The sequence below is a fragment of the Homo sapiens genome, chromosome 2 (genome assembly GCF_000001405.40).
Source record: "Homo sapiens chromosome 2, GRCh38.p14 Primary Assembly".
NCBI lineage: Eukaryota > Metazoa > Chordata > Mammalia > Primates > Hominidae > Homo > Homo sapiens.
Genome location: NC_000002.12, coordinates 40,733,456 through 40,745,673, shown reverse-complemented (window position 1 = coordinate 40,745,673; position 12,218 = coordinate 40,733,456). Strand labels below are relative to the sequence as shown.

General features: G+C 34.0%; 1 long non-coding RNA gene across 5 annotated transcripts in view; it reads left to right on the top strand.

Annotated features, from left to right (window-relative positions):
* Nucleotides 1-12,218, top strand: part of LOC105374497 (uncharacterized) — a 291,527-nt gene that overhangs the window by 224,594 nt on the left and 54,715 nt on the right. Inside the window, exon 3 of one of the 5 annotated variants that reach the window (XR_001739423.1) lies at nt 7,522-7,596. The exons of the other annotated variants lie outside the window; for them this stretch is intronic. This is a non-coding gene — a long non-coding RNA (uncharacterized LOC105374497). The remainder of the gene's footprint in view (nt 1-7,521; nt 7,597-12,218) is intronic. 5 annotated transcript variants of the gene reach the window in all.

Genomic DNA, 12,218 nt, shown 5'->3' with positions numbered 1-12,218 from the left:
TAAAAGACTACCAGAGATTAAAAGCAAAGAGGAGACAAAAAAATTATAGCCATAACTAGAGTGCTTAGCTCTCAAACTGAAGCAAACCGGACAGATCTGGGGTGAAGGTGGAAAGGTTCCAGTCTTCTCATTGATGAAAGTGGGTTTTAGAGCAATATGGGAGCTGAAGATGTAGCCTACGGTCCTCGAAAAACTGGAGGGCAGCTCTACCAAAGTGAAAGAGTGGATTAAAACAAAATTAACTAATGCAGGATGGGTGGCCAGGACAGAAAAGAAATCCTCCCAAGCAAATTCACAATCAACTGCCTGGCCTACCCACAGTCTGGGGTTCACATTTGTATTATTTGGATCCATCAGGGTGCCTTGGTCCGTAAAAAATTAACATAAAAAGATTGGTCCAGGCTAGTGATACTCCTCAGGCTTCTGGAATAGTTACATATATGCTCTTTGAAAATGAACATATCTTCAAGTCAGGATCCACAATTCTCAAGGAAGACCTTGCAATCCAAGAGTACAAAGTGCCCACGAGCAAGAATAGACAGAAACAAACAAACTAACAGAGCAAGATTACATTCTGTATTTAATTCCCAAGGGCTGCTGTAACAAATTACCATTAAAGTTGTGGTTTAAAACAACAGAAATGTATTCTCTTACAGCTCTGGAGACCAGAGTTTGAAGGTGTAGCCAGGACTGGGCTCCCTCCAGAGGCTCTATGGAGATTCTGTTCCTTGCGTTTTTCAGTTTTGAAAACTGTCAGTGTTCCTTGTCTTTTGGCTGCAACACTCCAATCTCTGCCTCCCTCATCTACTGCTCTTTTAGTGTGTCTTCTGTGTGTCTTTTGTAAGGACACTAGTCATTGAGTTTAGGGCCTACCCGGATAATCTAGAATGATCCCTTCATCCCAAGATTTTTAATTCAATTACATCTGCACAGACCCTTTCTCCAATAAAATAATATTTGCAGGCTCTGGAGATTAGAATGCTGCATGCCAAAAAAGTTACATCCACATTCTAATCGCCACTCTCTAAAGAATTTCAGATAATAGAGCCAGCAAGGAGTCATTATATGTTTATTTAAAATAATTGCCTTCTTTATTAAAAAAGGCAATAATATGATGCTGTAGAAAAATGCTGGCCAGTTTTGCAAAAGCCCAGAACAGAACTTCAAAATATAAATAATGTAGGCATCAATATAAAATGAATAAATAGATGAATTTCACAGCAAATTAGGGCATTGGTAAGATTGTTAGTTATCTGAATTATATGTGTGTGTGTGTATATATATATATATATATATATATATATATATATATATATACACACAGAGATTGAAATGTTGTGATATAAAGGACTTAAATAAGTTTTATACATATATTTAATAGAAGTTTCAGAAAAAGATAACTGAGTTACTGACAGGTAACACATGCAAATATAAACTAAAAAATATAATTCAGTGTAAATTTTCAAGAATTATTGAAGTATATAAATCCTTACATTCAGGAATTATAATGAGTATTAAGTAGAATGAATAAATAGTAATCTACACTTAAGTAATATACAATGAAACTGCAGCACACCAAACACAAAAGGAGATACTAAGTGCAACCAGAGACCAATTTTATCTATAAATGAAGAACAATAAGTTGAAAGCAAACTTCTCAATAGAAATTACAAAAAAGAAAATCCAATAGAATAATTTTATACGTGCTGAGGATTGACTTTTTGCAACACTTATTCTTAACCTCCTTCCTTCATTGGGACTCAAATTATAAGATATCTCAGACTCTCTTGCAGAGTTATAGTTGTATTTTAGATTTCACCAGTTTAAATGGACACACAGCAGTTTTGTATTTAGAATCTCGTTCAATGAAGTAGAAGGTGTCAGAAAGAGAAGCACCCCTCTCCTTCTTCCAACAGCATAGCTTGAGTCAACAATTCCAGTGGCAGTTTCCTGATCCTTGCATGTAGCTAAGGTACCCTAGTCCTGGAAGCAAAAGTTGAGAAAGCAATCTCCTGCTTCCAGCAAAGGTAAAATTTTTCTTGATAGATTAGTTCTGAAGTGCTATTCTATGAATCGGTTTGAAGGCCCAGGCTGGAGCTTGCTCCTCTAGGATATCTAATGCTTTTATAAATGCATATTTCCCTATGTCAAATATTCTTCTGCTTAAAGTTGCTGGAGGGTTTAGTTATCTGAAATCAAGTCTTTATTGATAAAGTACTTGGTACCACCAGTGATTGTAGGCAATGGGAAAGTGATTGGTTCTCTGATATGGTTGGTTTAAAAGCGAGAAATATCTTATTTTCCCCACTATATAATGGCAGATTAATAGTTCATGGTGTTCAGTGTTAAGAGCTTTACCAAAATTTTCATCTGTAAGTGTAAAACTTTGGAAAATTAAATGGTAGCTTGAGAGACTATGAAACAGGCTTTTTCTAATAATACTGAAAAACAAAGAATAAAGCAATAGAACCAGGGCTTTAAACTCTTGGCTTAAGACACAATCAGAAAATCAGGAAATGTCTATGATCTGTCTAAATTATTTTCTTATATTATCTGGAGGGCTATTACAGTCAAAGATCAGACAAAATCGTACCTTTTGAGATGCTAAATTACAAAACAGGTTATATCCACAGACTCACTATGTTGCTTATGTGAAAGTTAATTATGAAAAAATAATATCCCCAAAGGTGGAATTTTTTATTCAAATAATTTTATAAGTGCAAGCATTCTAAATGCTCAAACCTCAAAAAGACTATTATAGCGATCTGCTTTATTGCAGAACTGAAATGACCTCACAGGTCAACTTGGAATAAAATACCAATTACCTTCTTGCTTTATTACTACTATCTAGTTTTTTCCACAACCATATTTAGAACAGATCCCAGGTTGCCAGAGAGGCCAGTTACAATGGCAAACCAAGGAAAAGAAGATTTCCATGCCAAAATATCTACAAGGTGATTGCATTTTTGTTTAAATACTTTTTGTGTCTGCTCCCATGGAAAATTAGCACATCTGTACCCCGACTGATGTAAGGTTTGGCCATGTGGCTTGATTTGGCAAATGGAATGTGAACAGAATTGATGTTTGCAACTTCCAAGAAGAAGCTCAAGAGCCAGTGTGTGGTCTGCCACCATGTTTCTCTTTCCCTGCCACAAAATCAACAATTTCCAGAAAGGTCCTACTCCTTTAGCTGGGCCCTGGGATAAAGACAACATAGAGCAAAACAAACTGCAGCCGTCTCAGAAATGAGACATAACATGGAAAAATATATATATAAATATGTATATATGTATGTGTATGTGTATATACATATCAAACATATATATTTTATGGCCACAGAATAATTTAGCTTAAGTTTAAGCTAATGAAAATATATATTTATATCAGCAAAACTTGATCACAGGAAGAATATGATTTTAAATTGGGTTTCATTAATTGATATAGTTAATCTTATCAGAAATTCCGACTCCATCTCCTAACTCAAACGTATAGGAGTCTAACTAATTGTTTATTCACTGAACTCATTGGTGATTTATGCTGAATAAGGTTGTGGTAGAAATTCCATCATATATATATATATATACATATGTCTTTATATATATATAAAGTCTTTATATATGTATATAAAGACTCAGAGACATATGGATATTAAAGCAGATTTTTCTTGTACCATCTGCTAGCTCAGTTCATAAGCACGACTCACAAGGTGACCCAGAAGACCTCTTTTCAGAAGACAGCACAAGCATCCTTGAAAAAAAAAATTGTGGTGACTGCAGATGAAAGTGAGAAATGCTGTAACTGAAATAACTTCACTTATTTCGTTATGGATGCCGATATCTGAGGATGGCAGGATCCTTGTAGCTATAGTTAACTGCCAGAGGAAGCATAGGCATGATTACAGTATTAGGTAACATAGCTGGAGTAGAAGTTGAGTAATTTGACCCACTGAGATCTTTGATAGTGGCTCATTACTCATGGAATTCTTAAAGTAAAATCAATAGGAAGGTTATTAACCTACCTCACCTGTTTAACAAACACATCCTGATGAACAGAGAACTACCTTGATTCACCATGATATTTATTAATAGGATGACCATATTGTTTATTATCCAAATTAAAATATATTTGAAAATGAAAGCTGGAATACCAGGCATGAAACAGAAAAAGCATTTTAATTCCATGATCCTGTGAAATGTCTAGACAAGATTACAGGCACTCTACAGTCTTATATGGCTGTAACTCTATAGTCTTATATGGTATGTCAAAAGCCAGTTGGGTATTGATGTTTATTGTCCTTTTTTGTCCATAAAATACAGATTTTGGTCAAATTTTATAGTTAACCCTGCATAATAGAACATGGTAATTTAAAACATTAACCAAAAATAGAAAACACTGTATCTCCATTTAAAGTGTTTCGGTATGTAAAAAACAACTAACTTTAGGGTTGAAAACATCTAAAGTACATAACCATTTTTAATTGCAAGGATCACATGGGTTATTTGTTCATTTATATTTGAAAATCTTAATTCAGGAAGGAAGATAACATAAATGAGTTCCAAAATTATCTCAGGAAGTATCCTAATATGTGTAATAATATCCTACAATAAAATTTTTTTTGATGATTTACATTTTAAGAAACTATGTTCTCCTTACAGGAAAGGGGTCAAATAGAATAGCTGATGTATTATTCCTGAAATATGAAGAATTTGATCTTAAACCTTAAGAATTCTATACATCTGTGTGTTACTGAACACAAACTCAGAAGTACAAACTTTTGAAGTTCTACTTTTGAATGTTCTACTGTGTCCTTCAAATGTATATACAGCTATTTCGGAGAGATGTTGGGGATGAATTACCAAAAAATATAGAGGGAATTACAAGTAGTCCCCTGGAGTCCCCCTTGTTTTGCTCTTCTTTTCTTTTGATCTCTAATAACCATTTCTTATGGAAAATAAGCTTGCTCCCAATGAGCTTTTCTAAGTCTTTTGAACACTTTATTTCGTAACTCCCACCCCTTTTCTGTCACATTGCCAAGTTCTGGCCTTGACATGTTCATTTTCCAGGATATAGCACTGACTGATAACATTATCATTATGATCAGGGCTAGCTTTGCAGAAAGTAGAGTGACTGAAACACTAGAAGACTCTCCAATCCCCCACATCATTATTCTTCATGCTTAAAGTTCAACATGTCATTTCATTTAATAATTGCCTTTTCTGTCCAGATTATCTTTTGAAATGCAAACTGTTTTAGAAAAAAATGAATATGCAAAAACCACGGTGTAAATAAATTTATCAGTCATTTTCTGTAGGTGAATAGAGAGAACTATTTAGTGTTAAGAAAGAAATTAAAAGAGACAAGAACCTAAAGTAGAGGCTGGAACACCAAAGATAATTATATTATTCCTTAGAGCCAGATGGGCTGATTATTATTTTTGATCGAGAACACACTGATCTTAGCCATTCCAATTCTGCTAAAAACTACCCTTTGATGACTGCTAATAATGAAAGTAATTTTTTTTTGCTTTCTCACATATATTCTCCTTCAGTATTATATTGTTATACAATAATACAATTATTATAATGATTGTGTTATTCCTTAGAGCCAAATGGATTATTGTTTTTGATTGAGAACACACTGATCATAGACATCCCAATTTTACTAAAACTACCCTTTGATGACTGTTAATAATGAAAGTAAATTTTTTTGCTTTCTCACATATATTCTCCTTCAGTGCAGTATTGCTAATAATCAGTGGCTAAATGTTAAAAAGACACCCTAATAAATCTGCATCCACTCATGAAAGACAGAAATGAGCACTCAAATACTATGACACTGTGATGTGTGCACACATGGTCTTGCCACTACTGTAGTCTTAAATGGCTAACTGGGTATTGATGTCAGGTACTCCACATGCTGTAGAAAATAGCCTGGCAGTGAGTGTTTTGGAAGGTCAAAGGTTTAGGGAAGAGGACAGATATTTCTTTCTTGAGAACCTTTAAATGGAATAGCAGTAGGAATTCCAAAGCAGAATGGTAAAAACACATATTACCCTCACCTTCTTTTTTGAAATTTACTCAAAACAACGTGAACCGAAATCAGAAATTCAGCACAAACTCTACCCATAATTAAGCCAGAAGAGAGCTGTTGACTCTAATCAAAATGTATCAAGATAGAAAATGGATGCAATACATGTAAATGACATATCAAAGAGAAGATTTAAATTAAGAGTAATGAGTCATGGTAGAGAAAAGTATCTTCAAAAGCACATGTATTGATTAGTTCTACAGACACTCAAAAGGCTCAAGAATTCACATAACTGGTCAACATAAGAGTGAGAAGAAGGAAGAGGACTGAAAATAGGGAACTTTTCAAAAGTATTTATAAAGAGAGGTGAGACCCCAAGGGTCTACATTAATCCATCTTTTCTCACTGCCCAGGGAAGGAAAGGTTTATCCTCTGTGGTGTCCTTTTTAACTCAGATTATGTCATCTTCTGGTGAAAGCACTCCAATAATTTCCTTTCACTTTTTCATGTTCTATTTCTGTTTCAGAAAAAAACGTAACTAAAATGTTATACTTTCTCTAAGGGTCTTTGATATACTTAATTTTTAAATAGGAGTAATTAAATTTAAAATTAATTTTTCCCACTTGAGTGGGAAGATTGCAGACTACTGACCAGTAGCTTTAATGACTGTCTGCATTCAAATCTACACTCAATAGTTATATGTCATTGACAAGTAAGTTACTTAACCTCTTTGTTCATCAGTTTCCTCATCTATAAAATGCTGGTGATAATAGCACAATTGACCTTTGAACAGGGCAGGGGCTATGGACCCCCTTTGCAGTCAGAAATCTGTGTGTTACTTGTCATTCACCCAAAACTTAACTACAAATGGCTTACTGTTGACTTAAGACCTTACTGATAACATAAACCATCAACTGGCACATATTTTGCCTGTTTTATGCATTGTATACTGTATTCGTACAAAAAGTATGCTAGAGAAAAGAAAATGTTATAGAGAAAATTATTAAAGGAAGAGAAAATATATTTATTATTTGTTAAGTGGAAGTGGATCATCATAAAGACCTTTATCCTCATAATCTTCACATTGAGTAGCTGAGGAAGAAGGGGAGGAGGGGCTGGTTTTGCTGTCTCAGGGGTGGCAGAGATAGAAGAAAAACTGCATATAAGTGGACCCACACAGTTCAAAACCATATTGTTCAAGGGACAACTATTTGTTGACTACATATCATGAAATTGTTTTGAAGATTAAATATGTAAACATTTACAAAATTAGCCTGGAATATAGAGTGCTATATTGGAGTTTCCTATTCTGTTATCTACGTTCTGCTATGATGACCACCTCCTAAAATCTGACAGCGAGAACTAGAAACATATAAAGATGTTTTAAATAATTATTATCATGAGAATAAATTGACTCAAAGTTAGAGACGGCTAGTTACTCATGTACTATCAATTATCTGCATCTTGTCACTGATATATTCTAATTTAATCTAGCGCAACAAAATAACTGAATGGAAGATTACATTTCCCAGTCTTTGCTTGCAGTGAGATACAAGCAGAAGCCATCAGGTAAGAATATCTAGGAAACCTATTGAAAGTGAGAGATTTGCTCTTTTAGTTTTTCCTACTTCCTCATTCTTCCTTCCTGGAATACAGATGTATTATCTGGAGCTACAGTTGTCTTCTTGTACGATAAGGTGACCACAAGCATAGAAAACGTCCTAAGGAAGGCAGAAAAGAAAGATTTTAAAAGACAGGATTCCTTAATGTCAGTAAAACAGCCGTACCAATTCTGGAATTCTTTTATGCACAATTTCTGTGAGACGAAATTAAGATTCAGTCATTTTAAAGCCTCTTTAATTTGAGTTTTGCATTATGTGCTGCTGAAGCCAATTCTAACTTATATAGATGCCTGTAGTGATTCCATTTGACCCAAATAAGATTATTTGTACTATTTTTACTCAATTAAAAATACAAAATTAAGCCTTTAAAATAATATAAATTCAGAATTAACTACAGACCCTGCAATGAGAAACATTTTTCAGTTAGTTTATTCTTTCCATAAGAAGTTTCTCCCTGTTTGTTTTATGATTATATCTCCTCTGTGTCATGGAACAGAGTGTCTTTTGTTTATTTCTTGTAAAGCAGATACAAAATTTGAGTGTTCATTTTACTGTTGGTTTTTCCAGCATTACGAACCCCAAGCTTTTGATCAAATTTTTGTTAGCCTTTTATGTCTGAGGACACTTTGCAGTAATGAATAGTGAACCATTACGATGCTCATAATGTTCACAGTCAATAAAAGGACCATTTTATGTGCATTTGTTGGCAAGGCATACATATGTGAGTTTTAGGACTGGGGAGAGTAAGCGAAAGTAGCTTTTTTTGTTGTTTAACTTAATTTCAAAGACTTCTTTTCCAAGTCTCATTGAAGTCTTCGGTGTTGAAAAAAACTATAAAGACCCTCCTGGCTTCCAGTGACTTGATTTTATCATCCATGTACCACATAGAGAACCACAATATAGTTCCTCGAATACTTGACATTTTTTACATAGACTTACGTAGGTTAGAAGACACTTTTTACTCTGTCTGCTTGCATAGTCCAATGCTGTTCTAGACAACATGATATGGCAGAGACACAGGGATGATGAGGAGTGGTTGGAGGGGCCATTACAAAGAGGAACAGAATACAGTAAATTGTTACTGTAAATTTACTATCTATACCTCTAATATGTACCTTTACTAAGTATACCTCTAATCATCACCTTATGAGACATTAGCAACTTTTATATTTCCAAACCAGCCATCAACACCAAGGGATCTGAACTTAACTGAACTTGTTTGGGTTCCTTCATCATGTCTACAAGAATAACAAAACCACATAGCCCCGACACATTCATCAGGATAAAGGAGAATGGCGGTGAATGTGATTATCACCAGGTATCTCTCTTAAAGAAAGAGGGAAATCCAAAATCACTTGCTTCCGAAATACAGAAAATACTCCCAATTTTTAGATGTCTATTTATCATTTTCACTGAAAAAACATTTTCCCAAGATGAAATAATAAAGAAGAAGGAAAGCAGGCCACAGCATCTTTAAATGTAAGTTATCTCAAGCCACTTTTATTTTTCAGTCTGTCTCAGCTTCATTTTGGCAGTTTTATTCTCCTTTGGAGAATGGAAAAAAAGAAATCAGGTCACCATCAAGCTTTTATTCTTTGGATTAGAAAAGGCAATGAAGGCTGCATGAGCAGCAGTATCAGTAGCAAGGACATTCCAAGGGCACAGCTGTCCCAGATGCATGTAAGGAAATTCCTAGGCTTCAGATTGTGATATTCAGGGTGTAAAATTTCACAATACCCCAAATTGCTATTTTGTAACAACAACCTTAAATTATGGTTATTGTCTTAGTTCATTTGGGCAGCTGTAACAAAGTACTATAGACTGGGTGGCTTATAAATAACAGAAATTTATTTCTTACAGTTCAGGAGACTGGGAAGTCCAACATCAAAGTGCCAGCAGATTCTGTGTCTGGTGAGCACCTGATTTCTGATAGAGAGCTATCTTATGACTCTAACGTCACATGGCAGAAGGAGTAAGGGGTTTCGCTGGGTCCTCTTTTATAAATGCACAAATTCTATTCATGTGGGCAGAGTCCTGATGCCCTAATCACTTCCCAGAGGCCCTATATCCTAATACTATCATCTTGGCAGTGAGAGTATCAACATATGAATTTGAGGAGGAAATCGACATTAAAATCATAGCAATCATATCTTTATTATTAAGTAAGTTATCAAACATTTCTATATGTTCACTTAGATATAAACCCTTTGAAGAGAATGATAAAAACGTTCTCAATGATCCTGGCCCAGTGGCTCCGTGGTTATACGTGGTAAATAAGTACCTTACTATCTCTTCCCCTAAGAGGGCTATTGAAATGCACAAAGCATGTAGAATGGGTAAAATGGTTGGTTTGTGAATCATAAATCTTTTGAACTCCTGTGCCTAGATTGCCATATTAAGCAATTTTTTCGAAAAAGGATTTCCATTTAAATTTGAATTTTAGATGAACAACTTTTTTTTTAGTCTAACTATGCCCCATGCAATATTTGAAACATACTAAAAAAAGTACTTGTTGTTATTTAAAATTCAAATTTACCTAGGTGGGCATCCTGTATTTTATCTGGCAAGCCTACCCCCACCTCATAATAGTACATTTAAAACATTCTTTTAAATATCGAATAAGGTAGATTCAGTCACTGAAGAGTAGACATGTATCTTGTTTCATGTGACACAGTTTAAACAAGTATGTTTTAAACAGTGTGATATAAAATATATTGTGAAGTTCAATTGTCGTTCCATCTAGTTTACATGATTTTTTCTTTCTCTTTAGCTGTCCATATTAAGTCCATAACACATCAGCTTATGGAATCTCAGAAACTCATGTAGAAGTGGGTTTTTTTTTTGTGTCTTATCACAGAAAGATACTCCTTTGCTTTGGAGATGGACTTCCAATCATGTTCTAAAACTAGATTATGAGACCTTTAACTGAAGCATTCCATGAGGTTCTGCAATTATTTTGCCTACCCTGAAGACTTAAAGAAAGTCAAATTCGACATTCCTGAGGTGGCACAACAAATATTTTCTGTATATTGTCATCTTTCTTGTTAGTTAAAATGGAAAATATATACATTCTTCATTCATTCGTAATATAGTGGTTAACATTATAAACCCTATAATTAGGCAGCCTGTTTTTTGTTTCTTATTCTAGCTTCATTGTGCCACAGTCCTTATATTCTCATGCTCCATTATATCATAAAACCTCATGATGTTTAGGGTTTTAAGAATTTGTAAAAAACATACAATATTACTTAATATTTTAGTATCAGCAGAGAAAATTATCCAGGTAGATGAAAACTAACCTCTTTAAATTCCTAAACATTTAATGATTAAATACTTAAATAATTGGGATAAATTATTTAAATATGTTATATGTTTCCACAACTTATAATAAGAAGTAGAACATAGAATATGCTTTTTGAAACTCTGGAGCATTTATTGGAATGCTAATTGTTCTCAAGCACAAACGAAGCAAAGCTCTGGAGAAACATGGCCCAGAAGAATCTTTTTTCAGGGGCAGAAATGTTGTGTGTCTGTGCTATCCAATATGTGGACACAAGCCACATGTGGCTACTAAGCACTTGAAATGCGGCAAGTAAAACTGACCTCCTACATTTTAGATTTAATTCTAATTAATTTAATTTAAATATTTGCATGATGCTTGTGGCTACTCTATTGGACAGTGCAGATCTAGAGAGTTGAGTTGTGAGGGTTTTAAGATCTTATGACTAATTTCTTTAGTTTTTTTTTTTTCTAATTCTGTCTCTTCAAGAAAATTCCATGTAGTTAATTGGTAGTACTTGTCTTTAGTGAACTTCGTAACTGCTTTCTATTTTTTGTTTCTAATAAGCTCAGAATAATTGTAAAAATACACTTTTTAGAAATACACTCATATTAAAAGCAGTCAATTTGAATGAAAACACAATTCTTTCTTAAGAGGAAGGAGTATGTGCTATTGTATAAAGATGCCTCCCTAAAAAGACATTAAAAATAAAGGTCTATGTTAGTTGTGAAAGTTTTTTTTTTGTTGGTCCCCAGCAAGTACCATAAAGTTGACTTATTGGCTAAAAGCTCTCTAAATTAAGGAGTATGCTGTATTTACAAGAATCCTTCACATTTTATTATAATTTTATATTTAATTGTAGTTGATATTAAAAATGCAGAAAATTAGATAGTTGTTTGTTATCAGTGCTATTAAATATGTTGGAGAAGATCCAAGAAAATAAGGAAGGTCTGAGATAGACCAGTTCTTGTCATCAGGAATCTAATTAAGGGATGTTAATCCTGTGGTCTTGAGAAACTAGGCTAAGAGAAAGATTGTAATTATGTGGGATTATGTAAACCACCAGCAAACCATAAAAAGGTATAGTTAATCAATAGTACTAAATAACCATCACAACTTGTAAAAATGTTGTTTTTTGGCCATTAGACAAACGATGCACAGCCTGGTATTTACTAATCCTGACGACTGAATGACATAAGTGATCCATTTGAAAATTACTGTTGATTCATTTATATTCATTTGGAAATAAGACATTCACCAAAATAGAGATAATGAGAATCTTTTACTGT